The 16,244-nt window shown below is 61.0% G+C and overlaps 1 protein-coding gene across 16 annotated transcripts in view, besides 3 other annotated features; it reads left to right on the top strand.

Moving 5' to 3' along the window:
* BIN1 (bridging integrator 1) overlaps positions 1 to 15,130 on the top strand; it is a 59,132-nt gene extending 44,002 nt beyond the window's left edge. For 2 of the 16 annotated variants that reach the window (NM_001320641.2, NM_139343.3), the window contains 10 exons: positions 956 to 1,038; positions 3,998 to 4,142; positions 5,552 to 5,680; positions 9,141 to 9,248; positions 9,708 to 9,731; positions 10,791 to 10,898; positions 11,910 to 11,999; positions 12,241 to 12,351; positions 12,631 to 12,732; positions 14,520 to 15,121. In NM_001320641.2, the coding sequence (NP_001307570.1) occupies positions 956 to 1,038; positions 3,998 to 4,142; positions 5,552 to 5,680; positions 9,141 to 9,248; positions 9,708 to 9,731; positions 10,791 to 10,898; positions 11,910 to 11,999; positions 12,241 to 12,351; positions 12,631 to 12,732; positions 14,520 to 14,627 (1,008 nt within the window). In that variant the 3' untranslated portion in view covers positions 14,628 to 15,121. Of the gene's footprint in view, positions 1 to 955; positions 1,039 to 2,512; positions 2,558 to 3,997; positions 4,143 to 5,551; positions 5,681 to 9,140; positions 9,249 to 9,707; positions 9,732 to 10,790; positions 10,899 to 11,909; positions 12,000 to 12,240; positions 12,352 to 12,630; positions 12,733 to 14,519 lie in introns of all 16 variants that reach the window. The other 14 variants (NM_139349.3, NM_139345.3, NM_139348.3 and 11 more) reach the window with 11 other exon arrangements.
* Positions 506 to 1,122: an enhancer, noted in NCBI's record as "H3K27ac-H3K4me1 hESC enhancer chr2:127819607-127820223 (GRCh37/hg19 assembly coordinates)". NCBI's record gives its function as "activates a minimal SCP1, AML or CMV promoter by ChIP-STARR-seq in naive H9 embryonic stem cells {active_cell/tissue: H9 hESC(naive)}" and the evidence as "EXISTENCE:reporter gene assay evidence [ECO:0000049][PMID:30033119]".
* Positions 8,480 to 9,238: an enhancer, noted in NCBI's record as "H3K4me1 hESC enhancer chr2:127811491-127812249 (GRCh37/hg19 assembly coordinates)". NCBI's record gives its function as "activates a minimal SCP1, AML or CMV promoter by ChIP-STARR-seq in primed H9 embryonic stem cells {active_cell/tissue: H9 hESC(primed)}" and the evidence as "EXISTENCE:reporter gene assay evidence [ECO:0000049][PMID:30033119]".
* Positions 9,239 to 9,997: an enhancer, noted in NCBI's record as "H3K4me1 hESC enhancer chr2:127810732-127811490 (GRCh37/hg19 assembly coordinates)". NCBI's record gives its function as "activates a minimal SCP1, AML or CMV promoter by ChIP-STARR-seq in primed H9 embryonic stem cells {active_cell/tissue: H9 hESC(primed)}" and the evidence as "EXISTENCE:reporter gene assay evidence [ECO:0000049][PMID:30033119]".

Below are 16,244 nucleotides of genomic sequence, written 5' to 3'. Positions count from 1 at the left end.
CGTCTGCGTGAATCCACTGTGCGACAGGGTCTGGTCTGATTAGCGTACCTTTCTCTCTTGTGTTATTTTCATTTTAACCTATCTGGCAACTAAAACGCAAAGCTGTTGAACTTTGCAGTTGGAGAGACCCAGGGCTGGCACCCCCGCCCCCAGTGGTGGGTCTGACTTTGTCTCTTGGGCCCAGATGGATGAAGTGATGATGGTGGATTCCAGGCCCAGGGTCGGAGGAGGAAAAGCAGCTTGGGGCCTCCCCTGACTCACACTTCTAAGTACGGTTTCCTGCCTTTTAGACTTTCTCTTTCCTTCTTAACTTTTCCTTTTTCCCTTCGAAGATTGGAGACAACTTACGAAAAGTTTAAAAAATAGAGAAAGGTGTTTCAGAGAAGGAACATTTATATAAAATTAGTCTGTAAAAATATATGCCACAGAACATAGTTGTTTATAAATAGGATGAAGATTCGGCTCTGAGCTCCCTAGTGGCCAAATCAAAGAGAGGAATATTCTCAGTAATGAGAATCACCGTGTGTGAGGAATAAACCTCCGCTCGTGCCTGTGCTTTCAGTGAAATATCTGGCAGTTGTAGTGTGGTCTGAAAGCATCTTGGCAAAATGACCTTAACAATTAAGATTAATGGTCTGCCAAAACAAGTTTTAAGAGAAAAATGTAAAAACAGTGCAAGCTCTATGTGGCATTTTAGGATATCCCTATAAGTAGGAGGGGAAAAGATGGCTTCCAGAGACAGCAGGCATTAGTGATATAGCCCACTTGCCCCGTTTTGTTGCCCCCTTGGTTTTTCGGGGTTTGGTGTGCTAGTTCCTTGCTCTCACAGATGGGGAAAGAGGAGCTTGTTCCTGGCAGGGGCTGGGGGTGGTGGGGAGAAGCAGAGGTGTTTGGGGAAGGTGGGGCCGTTTGGTGGCCTTGGAGGCCCCCCACCTCCTCACTGTCTCTCCTGCAGCTCAACCAGAACCTCAATGATGTGCTGGTCGGCCTGGAGAAGCAACACGGGAGCAACACCTTCACGGTCAAGGCCCAGCCCAGGTGCGTGCGGGGAGAGCCCTGGCGCCCCTGACTGTGTGCACGGCAGGGGCAGGGCTCCTTCCTGTGACCCTGTTGGTGCCCTCCCTGGTCCCCCATGGGTTTGGCCTTGGGGGTCTAGGGACCTTCCTGTCTTGGCCTCTCTGTGCTCAGGGAGGCAGGTGAGGGCAGGTCTCTGTCTCGAATGTCCCTGCCCCTCTGGCTGTGTTCGTCGAGGAAGGAGCACTCTGGGGAGTCCGCGGGTCCCTGAGCCGGCTGACCCCCTCATTGTGGAGCACGAGCATCCAGGGTTGGGGTGGGCAGCCTGCTCAGCTTTGGGGACTGGGGGGTGTGAACAGGACTGAAAGACTCCGGGGTGTGCAGTCCTCTCAGAGCAGGGAGATAGCACCGCCCTTCCCTCTCCTGCTCCTGGAAAAGCTCATGTCCCTGGATGGCAGCATTCTGCTCAACCACACGAGCATCCTCTTCCTGTCCTCAGCCTCAGCCCCTCCGGGAATCCCAGCTGCAAGGAGGCCTCTGTTTCCTGAGGGGAAACCATGAGGGAGGAGGGAAATGCCTTGCTTTCCTGGCTGTGGATCAGAGGAAGCAGCGAGCCTGGGACTTCCCCTCCCTTCTGGCCATGTGTGCATGTGTGTGTGTGAGGGGGACTGTGTGTGACAGGTGTAAGTGTGTGCATACCCACACACATATCACAGCAGAACGCAGAGAACACCGATGGACTCTGTAAAACAGGGCGACTGTCTGCTTCTTGGGGTATTGCCTGGGATGATGAGGGTATCGGGTGGTGGTGATTGCCCCCTCCTTCCCTGAACATAAAATAGTTGTGGCTGAGAGAGGGGCCATGGTGACCTGAGGCTGGGAGTGGGGAGGTTAGGACGGTGGCGTTGTGGTGGTGGTTGGGGGGGTGGGTAGCGGGGTGGGGGTTGTGGAATAAAGGCCAAAAGGTGAATTCAAGGTCGGGCAGGGAGGGACAGCTGCCTGGCCTGTAGGCACAGGTGGGAACACTGGGATGGATCAGCAGGGGGTAAGTGGGGCCGTCCTGGCCAGAACCATGGCTCCCCTCAGGAAGGAGGTGGAGGGAAGAGAGAGGGGCAGTAGAGGCCCAGGAGTCTCCCTTCCAGCAGAGAGGCCTCTTGTGCACTCTGTGCTCGCCTGGGGGCCTTTTCTGGCACTCTGGGCACACCTGGAGCTCCTGGGGACTGGGACCACAGGCAGGGTGACTCTCCACTGCCCCGAGCCTCCTGCCCCTCACCAGGCCCTGTTAGCATCACCTCGGGCACCTGGCCACAGCAGGGGCCAGTCAGGGCACCCCGGGATAGCACGCCCAGGCCCTGTGCAAGGCCTCTGGCACTTAGGAGAGGCTTTTGCCCCTTTGTCCTCTGAGCAGAAGGGTTGGCAAAGAGGGAAGGGGACAGGCCAGTTCTGCACCTGGCCTTTCTCCAGAATGAAGGCCTCCACCTCCCGTCCGTCCCCACAGAAAGAAAAGTAAACTGTTTTCGCGGCTGCGCAGAAAGAAGAACAGGTACCGGCAGTGAGTGCTGCGGAGGGGCGCAGAGGCCCGCGCCCTGGCTGGCCCTGTGCATGCGCCTTGCGCCCTGCTCCCAGGTGCCACTAACCCGTAATCTGGCTCTGTGTGCAGTGCTGCCCGGCAGGGCTGTCGTGTGCGTGTTGGGTGGGAAGGCGGAGGCGGCGCGGGGCGGGCTGGCCTCTGAGCATCTGGCTGCATTTAGCACGTTCCTCTGGGCGCCCCACACTTGTCTAGCCCTGGTGGTGCCCGGGCCACCAGCGCACTTAGCAATGGAGGACGTGGCTGGGAAGGAGGCCTGGGGAGGGCCAGGGAGGTGACACTGCAGCACTGTGGGGTTTTTTGTTTTTTAAACAATTCTATGTGTATACCATATACTTATACATATATTCTTTAAGGAGAATACATTCCCATAAAACACAAATTCCAGAAGGAAAGATGGTGTCAGCGACATCTCTTACGCTGTTCCACTGTTTGCCCTCAGGTGACTCGGTCACTGGTTCCTGCTGGATGCTTCTAGATCTGCACTGTCCAGCACAGGAGCCAGTTACCCCATGGGGCTATTGAGCACTTGAAACTGGCCAGTGTGACCGGGCAGCGGAACTTTTCATTTGAATTACACGTAAATTTCATTGCTTTGAGTTTGCATTGCCGCCTGTGGCTAGTGGCAACCGTACTGGGCAGCACTTTTCTAGGCGTCTCTGTGCAGGTTCTGGTAGAGAATTTTCTCCCTGCACCTTCGCCCCTGTGCCTGGGGTGCACAGCATCACACCACCTCCGCCTTGGGTTCTGGCACTGAACGCCATGGCTCAGGACCTGTCCCCTCCATCGCCAGCTGCCCACTCCTCTGTGATGAGGACGCCTCTCTTAGTTTGTCCAGGCCCTGCTTGTGGCCTCCAGCAGCCGAGAGGACAGGAGAGCCAAGGTCTAGAGACATGTACCAGGGTGCTGTGATGGACAGGCAGGGAGGGCAGCAGGCTGGGGAGCAGACCCCAGAACAGAGGGGCTGCTGCGTGTGGTGTGGGAGACTCACTGTGCCTCTAGGATGTCTGGCTTTCTCCTGCTGTGGATCTTGGGCTGTCAGCATGGGCCCTGGTGGACCCCATGGAGCCTGTGGGGTGGTTGGTCTGGTCTCTGCGACAGATGGTTCCAAGGGACCTGCCTGCACTCCTGGGGACCATAGACCTCCAGCCTGGAGTCCCACCTTGTGCTGTTCCTGTTTCTGAGGCAGGCTTCCCACTTCCAGCCCCCCAAGCCCAGGTCCCTTGGCTCCCCCCACCCTCCTGCTCTCTCTCACATACACACACACACACACACACACAGTTTCACACCTCCATATGCACACACCTCTTCACACAGACGTCAATACATTTGCCCCTCCGTCTCCTGTGCCTTGGCCCCCCAACACTGGGCTCCCTTTCTTGTCCTCCCCCACAGTGACAACGCGCCTGCAAAAGGGAACAAGAGCCCTTCGCCTCCAGATGGCTCCCCTGCCGCCACCCCCGAGATCAGAGTCAACCACGAGCCAGAGCCGGCCGGCGGGGCCACGCCCGGGGCCACCCTCCCCAAGTCCCCATCTCAGGTAGGAGTGATGTCTTGGTAGCAGGTCCCCTGCCCTCCCTCCTTCTCCTCCGGCTTTGCTGTTGTCCTCCATCCTCCCACTCCTCTGTCCCCTTTCTGGCCTGGGCAGCTATGGACCCGATGCTTTGCCCAGTGGGGGTTGGGCCTGGACCTGGGTCTCCTTTCCCCCATCCAGCCTGGCATGCTTCCGGGAGGCATCTGTGACTTGCTCGCTCCTCCCCAGCCCCCACCCCCACTGCAGCGCCCTCCCCTTCCCTCTCCCTGGTCTTTTGTCTGCTTGACTCTTTCTCCATCTTCTTTTCCTCCCTAGCAGAGGCTCTGGGCCCTCAGCCCACAGAGCATCCAGATCTCCAGAGTGGGCTGCCTGTCCCTCTTCCTGGCCTCTCTCTCTTAAAGGGGCCTGAGGGAGGAGCCCAAGCCAGGTGGCCATGCAGGACCTTTAAAGGGACAGAGAGAGGAAGGGCTCAGAGGAGGGTGTGGGGTGGCTAAGGGGGCAGGTCCTGGGCTTCTGGACTGTCCTTGTCTCCACCCCGCCTGCCCCCAGCGGGCCCTCCAGGTGTCTGCAGGGCCCTAGGTGCTGGCTGGCCAGGTGGGGGTGTTCTCATAGCCGGGGATCCTGCAGCTCCCCGTTTTCTGCTGCCGCCCTGCTCTGCTGCTGACTAGGATAGCAGGGCTAAGGACATGGTGGGAGCCTGTCCCAAACAGCACTTCCCCCGGCCTGGACATGGTGCCAGTGCCTTCTGTGTATTCGTTCACTGAGTCCCCACAACACCCCTGTGAAGCAGGCGCTGTCATCACCTGATGCATGAGGAAGCCCAGCGTCATGGGTGTGTGACCTGCCTGAGGTCCCCCACCTGGTGGGCAGGGGTGTGGCCTCTGCCCCATCCTGGTGCCACGCTGGCTTCCTCTGGGATACACTCGTCTGAGCTGGGCTCCCTGTGGGCAGCCCTGTGCCCTGGGAGGTGGAGAGAGGGGCCTGCGGGAAGGGAGAGGTGGGCAGGGGGAGGCTGGGGCCCGGCTGTCTCTCAACGACTGTTTGCTTCCCCAGTCTTCTCACCAGGCCAGTGGGAGCCAGCCCCTCCCACAGTTGGCCAGTGGGCAGCCTGGGGCCTCTTCTCTTCTTCGCTCTCCTTCCTCCTCTCCCCTCACTTCTCTATCTCTTCTCTCTCCACACAGCGTTTCTGGACCGCCTGCCTCAGTGTCCCTCTCGGGGGTGGCCTGGGGTCTTGGTGTCTATGTTGGGGGGCTGGGAGGGCAGTGACTCTTCATTTGCTGCGTCCTGCTCAGTGGCCTGGGTGGGACTGTGGCCTGAGGTGTGACTAACCGTGGCTTTGTCTCTGTCTGTCTCCCCCAAACCCCGTGCTCTGCTGTGCCTTCCCGCGCGGCCCCTCACCCGCCGCCGACCCACAGCTCCGGAAAGGCCCACCAGTCCCTCCGCCTCCCAAACACACCCCGTCCAAGGAAGTCAAGCAGGAGCAGATCCTCAGCCTGTTTGAGGACACGTTTGTCCCTGAGATCAGCGTGACCACCCCCTCCCAGGTCAGCCGCGGCCGCCGCGGCCCAGCTCTCCTCTCTTCCTGCCCTCTCAGGGCGTGCATGGCCTTCATCCTCTATGCTTCTGTCTCAAGAGCCAGGAATCTGGCCAGAGAGAGTGTCAGTTTCCCTCTCTCACCCTTTGTTCCCTCCATCCATCATCCTCCATCATCCTCCATCACCCATCTCTGAGCATGTACTAAGGCCAGATGCAGGGCCACAGAGGGGAAGGTGCCGCCTCTCCCGGCGCAGCAGTTACATCAGCAGCGCCCTCGCGACGCAGTGGGTGCTATGGCAGAGGGGATCGGGGAGTGTGGAGGACGTGTGGCTGTCAGGGAAGGCTTCCAGGGCCAGGGAGAGTTGGAAGGTCCTGGAATGGCTGAAGCACCTGGACTTCAGCTCCCACAGCTGCTGTCAGCCCCTCGAGGGCGGGGGCAGCGGCCAGGCTGCAGGGCAGAACTGCCGTGTGCACACTCCCTAAGAGGCGTGGAATGCCCAGATACAGCAGGGAGCCACCCAGGGGGGCTTGGGTCTCTCCCGACGGGCCCTTGGCTCAGCAAGGAGCCACGCAGAGGGTCTTGGGTCTCTCCCAGTGGGCTCTTGGCTCAGCCGTGGAGGTGCCTCTGGGGAGCCTGGCCCACAGCCCCAGGTCTTACGTCCTTCATGGTGGAGGTCGGGCTGGAGTACCTGTGCTGGAAGCGCATCTTGCCAGTGCTGGAGTGGGCTGACGTGTTGTCAGATTTGCCCAGAGGTGGCCGGCCTTCCCCGCACTCCCCGAGAGCTGACTGCCTCCTCAAGTCCAGCCCTCAAGGCCTCAGCCTTCCTCCTGTGGGTAGGCCAGGACCCTTCCCACACAGAGCCTCGCCTGTAGGGAAGGCTGTCCAGTCCAGGCTGTGGTGGCCTCCAGCAAACACCTTCACACAGCTCAGACGCCTAGTGGGGATAGGTTGGAGGGTGTGAGTGTGGGGAGTGGCCGCTGGGAACTGCGAACAGTGGTCGCTGCTAGGAAGGGTTGGGGATGGTGGGCCTCAAGCCCCTATGCAAAGACTAGGACTAGAACTAAGGAACTGAGGCTGCAGGTGTCTGGGTGGGTGACGCCCTAGTTCAGGGGCCTGGCAGGCGCGGGAGCCCCTCTCTGTGGGATAGTGGCAGAGGGCGATGTAGGAAGAGCAGTGTGGGGGCAGGGCTGAGGACCTCCAGGGCTGCTTGCTGCTGGCCTCCCCGGCTCGAGCATGCCTCCGCCCTGGTGATGCCCAGTGTGTGTGCAGGCGAGGGAGACGGGATGGCATGGACACTGGCAAATACTGAGCAGAGAACGGTGCCAGCCACTTCCTATACCCCATTGTTTGGTTTTCAATCACCCTCTGGGAGGACATCATGCCCCCATTTAACAGGTGAGGAAAGGAACCCAGGGCCTGTGCCGCGGGCCCACGCCAGAGCAAGGTGTGCCAGGCCAGGAGGTGGTGCAGAGACCACCCGCACCCAGGCTCTGAGCGCGCCTATCCCTCCATACCATACCTGCCTCCCTGGCCACCGCGTGTGCCATCTCCAGGCAACTGGTCTTCCCGGTCTGGTCTGGGGTCGGGGAGCCATGACCTTTGGGTGGGGCATGGGGCAGGGGTGGGCTTGCCTTTGTCCATGACACGGGTGCCCACGGGCTTCCCGGCTGTGGGGTGGTGAGTAGCCTGTGTCCCTGCATGGAGGGACAGTCCCGGGCCTGCATGGCGAGGTGCCACCTGCCGGGGCAGCACAGCGAAGGGATGGTCAGCTCTCTGGCGGATGACCCTCCCCTCAGCACATGACGGATATTGCTGCCTGGGTTGGCTGACTTTTCTGAGACAGGAGGGAGGGGTGTTGCTGGGGCAGGGTGGGGGCCACTGGGGAGAGATGCTGGCCGCCCGCTGGTGGGAGGCACCTCGAGGCTGTGCACCGGCGTCCTCAGGGCTCCTTCAGAGACGGCCGGTTATGGGGCAGAGCAGTGACCTCCCTGCCCTGGGTTCCCCAGACAGGGCTGGACCTAAAGGAAAGTCAGCTGCTGGGATTGGCCCAGGGCAGGGCTTGGGGCCTAGGGCCCCTGGTTCTAGGAAGTGAGTCCACTTGGCCTGAGCTGTCTGACACCTTGGCTTGGCCATGTGGACTGCTCCACGCCTTGTCCCCTGAGCTGCAGGACAGCTGGGTCCTCTTAGGACTGAGGACCTTGGGTCTCTCCCAATGGGCCCTCGGCTCAGCTATGGAGGTGCCTCTGGGGAGCCCGGCCCACAGCCCCAGGTCTCACATCCTTCATGGTGGAGGCCGGGTGGGAGGGCGCCCCTGTCAGTGTCCGGTGCCTGTCAAGAGTGTGTAGAGCCGGGAAGCCGCTGGCCTGGGCTGCGGGGCTGGAGTTCTTCCAGCACTGCCTGAGGGCCCCGGAGGGGAGCACCCCGGCCACGTCCCTCTCCTTTTAAACCTGGGCAAAGTTCTCTCTGGCCCCCAAAGGGAAGCCCCAGGTACAAGATGGAGACCGCAGCCGAGCCAGTCCCTGCTCCTCAGAAGGCAGCTTGTGCCCTGGGCATGGATGCTGCCCCAGGGCTCACCGGAGTCATTGTCTCCGCCTGTGCCGGGGGCTCTAAGGAAGCCCCTTCCTCCCATGCTAGTCTGGCCCAGCTTATGGGGAGGCTTGTCCCTGTGTGGCCAGGGCCACCGTGTCCCATCCCTGGGGCCATGCCTGTCACATGCCTATTCCTGGGCTCACTGGAAGGAGATCTTGGCGAGGGGCTGCTGGGAGGGGTCAGGGGCCTGCAGTTTTAACCCAAGTGCCCCGGGTGGTTCTGAAGCCCCCGAATGTTGAAGACCCCACTTTGAAGCTTGGCCTGTTGGGCTTTGTGGCTGGCTCCACTCTTTCTCCGTCCCTGGAGCTGACGGCTGGTGGTGTCGCCAGAGAGTGACCTCCCTGTCTGGGGTGGAGGAAAAGCCAGTGTGAAGTCTCTGCCTTTGGAACTTTCCCAGTCGGGAGCACTGAGGGTGGCTGTGGCATGGTGTTACTCTCGCCACTGGGGGGTAGCAAGATCAGCAGAACTCTTGGCGCAGGGAGCGGAGAGGAGGTTCGGGCATTGGTGGGGAGGGGCCCACCAGTCTGTGGATGGTGGCGGAAGAGAGCTGGGGCCTGGTGCTGGCCCTGCGGGGTGGCGGCCACGGGCGGACCTATGACTGGGAGTTTGAGGCGGGCACTGGGGTCGTCCTCCTGGTGTGGGCGGGAGCCTGTGCCGGGGCGCGTGGCTTTGGGCAGTGCTCCCGTGTGTGAGGTGGATGAGTTGGTGCCTGGGCTGTGTGCCAGCGTGTGTGCGTGTATGTGCGCTTGCTCTGCATGCGTGGTGTGTGTATGTGTGTGTGTCCACGCGTGTGCCTGTGCCTGCAGTGTCTGCCTGGGGTGAGGGCTCCCAGCTTAACACTAACTGCTTCCTCCTCTGCTGCTGCTGCTGCTGCCAAGTTTGAGGCCCCGGGGCCTTTCTCGGAGCAGGCCAGTCTGCTGGACCTGGACTTTGACCCCCTCCCGCCCGTGACGAGCCCTGTGAAGGCACCCACGCCCTCTGGTCAGGTTGGTTGTGCCCACCACTGCCCATGGGCCCACCAGCTTCCAGGTGCCCAACCCTGGGCTCATGTTGCCTATTGGCCACGTGACCCCAGCTAGGCCTGGGTCACTGCCCTTCCCCTGGCACCTCAGCCTTCAGCCCTCATCACCTCCTGGTTGTAGGGCAGGAAGCAGCCCCTGATCAGCTGGGAGAACTCTCAGTAGGGGGTTACTGAACACTTCCTGGCAACTTTGTGCTCATCGCTTGGGGCAGAAGCATCCTGGCTTGGGGTCTTGAAGCTCCCTGAGAGGTGTCGGGAGCTCGGCCACCTGCAAATCTTGGAGTCTACCTGGCTCCGAGCCACTCCTGTGCCTGCTGGGCTGGATGGCCTGGGGCGAGCGGGGGTAGGGTCCCTGGGGACTGCTTGCCGCCCTGTCTCTAACCTCTGTGCTAACTGTCCTTCTCGCCCTCACTGCTGCGCTCAGTCAATTCCATGGGACCTCTGGGAGGTAAGCTGCACGTCTGCTCTTTGTCCAGCCCCTGGGGGAGCCACTCTTCCGTATGTGTCCAGGCCCACATGCTCCTAGCCTGTTCACAGGTGCATGCACCCCACACACCCCCCACACGCAGGACACACAGGCACGTGCTCACGCACAGGGAGCTGGTGAAGCCACCCGCCTCCAGCCATTCTGCTGCTTCTCCCTCTGGCAGGCCCTTGGAAAAGGGGATCTTCGGTTTAGCTTGAGACAGGGGTCCCCTGAGATCTGGTCCTGTTTTCACAGCCTGTGAGTGTTTGCCTCCAGACAGAAGTGGGCCGGTCACCCAGGATGGACGAGTGTCCTCAGGGTGTGGGGCAGGAGGGCCTCAGGGTAGAAGGTTCTTGCCTTCTCTGAGCTTTTTGGCAGTGGGGAGCTGTTTGCGAGGAAGGGGAGAGGGGAGGAATGGATGGTTTGAGAGAGTCAGGGAAGACAGGGTGTGGCTGAGTGCCTTCTGAGAGCAGGGCCTGCAGGCAGGTGCAAGGCCATCTCACACAGCACCATGTCACTGTCACCTGATAGCTCAGGACACAGAGGCTCAGGGAAGGCTCAGTACTTGCCCAAGAACTGGTCATGGTAGAGCCAGAATTCCAACAGGGTCTCCTGGGCTCTGTCCCTGAGACCCCCTGATACAGGCAGAGATGCTGGGAGGGGCAGGCGGGTGTGCAGGCGCCCTTGGGGCATGCGCTGGCAGCCCAGGCTCCTGGGAGCTCTGGAGGCTCCACCGCAGGATTTCCCTCTGGAGGAAGCCAGAAAGAGCCAGCCTGGTGCGAGCTGGTAGGGCCATTTTGACAAGTGGATTTCGGTAGGTGCTGAGCTTGGGCAGCACAGTCACACCTGCCTGTCCCTTTGACAGTGGTAGGAGAGAGGATGTGGGAGGCGGGTGGCTGGCCGGGCTCCGCTGGTACCCACCCTGCCCCCACCAACCCCAGCCGCTGGTGACATTTTCTCTTGTCTTGTGATCCTGCCCATTGCCTTTCCACCCCGGCCTCCCCGCCCCCTCCCTGTTCTCTCCTCGTGGCCTGTTACCAGCCCACAGAGAGTCCAGCCGGCAGCCTGCCTTCCGGGGAGCCCAGCGCTGCCGAGGGCACCTTTGCTGTGTCCTGGCCCAGCCAGACGGCCGAGCCGGGGCCTGCCCAAGTAAGTGCCCACCTCCAGCCCCTGTCTGGCTTGTCCCCAGTCTCTAGGGGTGCAGCATGGAAGGAGAGCCCCGAGGAGGGGTTGCAGGAGGGACCAGGCCACCATGGATGTGAGGGTGAGGACAGGGTCCTGAGCTAGGCTGCCCCAGCACGGGCTTGTCACCAAGGCTGCCAGGGATGAGTGAGCGCAGCTGGGCGCATCAGCCCCTCCTGCTTGCCCACCCCAGCCCAGCCTCCCAGCGCAGGAGGAGCATTTAGAGCACCTACTGGTTTATGCCAGGCACTTTCCAGAATCTTCTCATTTAATCTTCGTCATCACCTTTACAGCCAGACACTTCCTCCTTTTACAGATGAGGAGATGGGGGCTAGGAGGGTTGAGTAACTTGGTTCCAGCACTCAGAAGTGGCCAAGTCTGAGTGTCGGCCCAGGTCAGCCCAGCTCTGGGGTTCCTGCAGGGCCTGCCGTGGTGCCCGTGCTGCGGTGCCCGTGCTGCGGTGCCCATTCTGTGCCACACCCTTCTTGGATTTGGGCTGCGCACAGGCTGCACCGCACCACCTGCGCTGGGTTGTGCTCAGGCTGGGACAGATGTGTGTTGCTGTCCCCTGCCATGGACTATCTATAGGTGCAGCAAGATCCTGCCACCTGCCGGGTCAAGCAGGGTGGGCGGGTGGTGGCTGTGGCTGGGCGAGGTCTTGGTGCCGAGAGAGCAGGGCCTGTGAGGCGGGGTTGGGGGTGGCACTCTGGGGCTTGCACTGGGCTTCTTCACAGCATTGTCACTCACATCCCTGGGCCTGCCAGCGCCTACTCTTCAGCTGCTTCCCCGGCCCAGGGCCCAGCTTGTCCAGCAGAGGCTCCCTGGATTCTTCGAGGCACTGGGCAGCTCTAGACCCTGCTGCCAGCCAGGCGATGCCCCCGGCCCTGTCGCTTGGGTGCTGCCCTCCTGTGGCCTGTTTCCTGTGTCCTGGCTGTGTCCTGTCCTGTGTCTGACCCCAAGCCGGCATTTATGTTGCAGCCAGCAGAGGCCTCGGAGGTGGCGGGTGGGACCCAACCTGCGGCTGGAGCCCAGGAGCCAGGGGAGACGGCGGCAAGTGAAGCAGCCTCCGTAAGACAGCAGGGACAAAGCCCTGCCTTTTCCTCCCTGCCGCCCGCCTGCCTGTCCGGGGCTCCCCTGTGGCCCCTGCTGGTGCTGGTCCAGGCCTGGCTCCTGTTGAGGAAGCTGGAGGCGGGCCGGTCTGGCACCAGGCGCAGACACCTTTCTCCCCTCCCCGCCCCTCTTCTCCTCGGTGGCCCTGGCTGTCCCTGGACCACCTCCCTGCTCAGCTGACCCGTACCTCTGCCACCAGAGCTCTCTTCCTGCTGTCGTGGTGGAGACCTTCCCAGCAACTGTGAATGGCACCGTGGAGGGCGGCAGTGGGGCCGGGCGCTTGGACCTGCCCCCAGGTTTCATGTTCAAGGTGAGCCCACAGCCTCTGACTGCTGCAGTCCCTCGGTGCCCTGGTGGGCAGATGAGAACCCTGAGCCTCAGGAGACTCTGTGGTTTGCCCAAAGTTGTGCAGGCGCTACTAGGTCACTCCCAGCCAGCAAGGTGGCATCTGAGCCCCATACTGTCCTGCTGCTTTTGAGCACTCCTGGTCTCCATACTGCCACCTGCACCTCCCACACGCAAGGCCCGTGCTCTGTGCAGGGCTGGAGGTGGGACGGAAGGTCTGACTTGCGATCCGCATCCTCTGCAGGTACAGGCCCAGCACGACTACACGGCCACTGACACAGACGAGCTGCAGCTCAAGGCTGGTGATGTGGTGCTGGTGATCCCCTTCCAGAACCCTGAAGAGCAGGTGAGGGCTGGGTGGGGCCGCCAGAGCGCAGGGGGACCACAGGCATCCTGGCTGCGGCTGGCACCGCCGTGGCGGAGACAGGCCAGCAGGGGGCAGCAGAGGCCCGCGAGCACCAGGGCTCCCGCGCCAACTGCTCCTCCCCGCCCTCCACGTCGGGCTTTTTCCTCTCTCCCTCTCCTCTCCCTTCCCTTGGCCCCTCTCCTGTTAGGCCTCTCTCTCTCCCTGTCCCCATACCCGCTTCTTCCTGTAGCCTCTGCTTTCTTCTCCCCACGTCCCCCCTTTGCTCAGGCGCTCTCAGCTCTGCCTCTGTCTCTCCCCTTCTCCTCTCCTGGCAGCTGTGCCTGAGGCCTGCCTCCCTCCTGGGACAGGATGCTTGACCCCTCCTGCCCCGCCCACAAGGTGCCCACCCTGCAGCCAGCCGGAGCACTGGTTGGGCTCATGAAGCCCCGTGTGCCGTCCCTCGAGGCGGGCCCTGCCCTGTGCACGCAGGGCCATGGGCTTCCCAGCTGTGTCCCCGGCTGAGGCTCACCCACGATGCCTTCCAGACCCTTCTCCTCCTGCTGTGGCTTCATGTTAATCTCCTGGAAGTGAGGGCTCCTGTTGAGCCTGGGTGGGTGCTAAGTGTGTCCCTCCTAGGTCTGGGACCCTCCTGGATCTGGGTCAGTTGCCCCTCCCAGGGGGCCTTGGACTCTTGGCAGGAGCCTCCCCGCTGTGTAGAGCCAGCTTTGCTTGTGGGGGGTCGGTGGTGCCATGTGGGCATCTGGCTTCCTCCACGGCTCAGCCCCTGAGCACCTCGGGCTGTGCACAGAGGGCCTGGCCGGCTTCTTCCTGCTTCCAGAGAACATGTTTAGCCATCAACGCTTCTGTGTGAATAGGTTATCAGAGCGGCTGAGGGTGACAGTGGGTCTGCCTGGGTCTTGGATGAGGCCGACCCTACTGGGGGTCCTGGGCTGGGATGTAGGGGTACCAGGTACTTATTGAGGTCCGGGGCAGGAGGCCTGAGTGATGAGGACCTTGTGGGCCTGGCACTGATTTGGCCCTTTCTCCTAAGCCCCCAGGTCTTCATGGACCTCCTAGTGGGCCAGCCCTGGCTGGGTAGGATTTCAAGCAGACTGCTACCCAGAGCCCACAGTGAGAATTGGCCTGGGGCTGCTGGAGGGGGCTCAGATAGGGCATGAGTAGGGTCTGTGACCAGGCTGACAATGACACAGAGGGAAATAACAAAGACCCAGGTAGGCCCCAGGCACAGCCCAGCTGCAGGGGCAGCCTCGGCCCAGCCACTGGCAGGAGTGGATGGCCATACGGCTCCCCGTGACCCACCTGGGGCCAGGGGCCTGTCAGCACTCCCAGAGAAGGCCCTGCGGGTGTCAGGATTGAAGCAAAGGGCAAGTCGAAGTTGGAGGGACTGGTGGGATGGCCCCAAGTCCCTCTAGAACTTGTAACTTGTTGTCACTCCCAAAACTTTCTGGGGTTGTTTGAGAAGCCTGGAATCCTGGAAGGGCTGATGTGCACATCATGCATGCAGTGGGACTCATCAAAACCAGCCACGAATGGTTAGATCCACCTGCGGACGACAGGCTGGCTCCTGTGGTGCCTCTGGGCAGGAGCCTCAGCCAGCAGCATCAGGGAGTGCTGCCTGGAGGAGGTGTTCTCAAGGTGGGCTTGGCAGGCTGAGGCACCAACAGCAGGAGGAGGGGCCGTCTTCCCAGCAGGTTGGAGTGGGATGCGTGCCCTGTGGGGTGGAGCCCCTTGCTCATCCCTGTGCGACCTGGTGCTCTGCCCCTCAGGATGAAGGCTGGCTCATGGGCGTGAAGGAGAGCGACTGGAACCAGCACAAGGAGCTGGAGAAGTGCCGTGGCGTCTTCCCCGAGAACTTCACTGAGAGGGTCCCATGACGGCGGGGCCCAGGCAGCCTCCGGGCGTGTGAAGAACACCTCCTCCCGAAAAATGTGTGGTTCTTTTTTTTGTTTTGTTTTCGTTTTTCATCTTTTGAAGAGCAAAGGGAAATCAAGAGGAGACCCCCAGGCAGAGGGGCGTTCTCCCAAAGATTAGGTCGTTTTCCAAAGAGCCGCGTCCCGGCAAGTCCGGCGGAATTCACCAGTGTTCCTGAAGCTGCTGTGTCCTCTAGTTGAGTTTCTGGCGCCCCTGCCTGTGCCCGCATGTGTGCCTGGCCGCAGGGCGGGGCTGGGGGCTGCCGAGCCACCATGCTTGCCTGAAGCTTCGGCCGCGCCACCCGGGCAAGGGTCCTCTTTTCCTGGCAGCTGCTGTGGGTGGGGCCCAGACACCAGCCTAGCCTGGCTCTGCCCCGCAGACGGTCTGTGTGCTGTTTGAAAATAAATCTTAGTGTTCAAAACAAAATGAAACAAAAAAAAAATGATAAAAACTCTCAGAAAACGTGTGTGTATTTGTTCTCCCTCTTCTTGTCCGTGAGTGCGGATGGAACCGTGTTATCTGTGGCTTTCTTACTGAGATGGTCTGCCCCCGAAGGCCCGCTGCCCTGGGCTGGTGCACCACAGGGCTTCAGCCCCTGTCCCCTGGGGTTCTTAGGGGTGGTCAGCTGGAGGTCAGGGACTGGGGGCTTGGGTGAAGGGGCTTGGCGAGCCATCTCTGTCCGAGAAATCTGCTGAGTGCTATCCTAAGTGACCTTTTTATTTTATTTTGTTTCATTGTTTTGAGACAGAGTTTTGCTCTTGTCGCCCAGGCTAGAGTGCAATGGCGAGACCTTGGCTCACTGCAACCTCCCGCTCCTGGGTTCCATCGATTATCCTGCCTCAGCCTCCTGAGTAGCTGGGATTACAGGCGTGAGCCACCACACCCGGCTAATTTTATATTTTTAGTAGAGATGGGGTTTCACCATGTTGGCCAGGCTGGTCGCAAACTCCTGACCTCAGGTGATCCACCTGCCTTGGACTCCCAAAGTGTTGGGATTACAGGCATGAGCCACCACACTCAGTGACCTTATTTAATACGCAAGAGAACCTGTGGTTCAGGTACCAGGACTCCCTTTCACAGATGAGGAAGCTGAGGCCCACGGAGGTCCAGTTACCGGCAGGTGAGTGATGGCACTGGACTGTGGGTCTGAGCACTTGACCCCAGACCAAGGGCAATGCTTGTGTCTGGTGGGGTCTGAAGGGCCTGGGTGGGGGGCAGGCATGCTGGCCTGGCTTGTCCCTCATCTCTTGACCCCTGCTGACCCCGCTCTGGGCGCTTCAGTTCCATCGGCAGACTTGGACAGGTCTGAGCAGCAGCTTTCCAGGAGCTGCGGGGACTGTGCCCATGGGCCCAGGGAGCAGCCTGCACTTCCAGGTGGAAGGAGCTCACGGCTCTCTTTAGTAATAGTTAAAGCTGGTGAGTGAGGTGACTGTCAGAGTCTGAGCTTTATTTTGGGGTAAAGCCCCTGGGCTTTGCTTTAGGTGGCAGGATTGTCATTGCTGTGGCCCTGCCTGGTCCTGTGGGGGGCAGATAGTGTTGGCTCTGCCATCCGTGGCTTCCAGGAGCAGTGGAAGTCATAG

Source organism: Homo sapiens, chromosome 2 (assembly GCF_000001405.40).
Source record: "Homo sapiens chromosome 2, GRCh38.p14 Primary Assembly".
NCBI lineage: Eukaryota > Metazoa > Chordata > Mammalia > Primates > Hominidae > Homo > Homo sapiens.
This window is presented reverse-complemented; position numbering and strand designations above follow the sequence as displayed.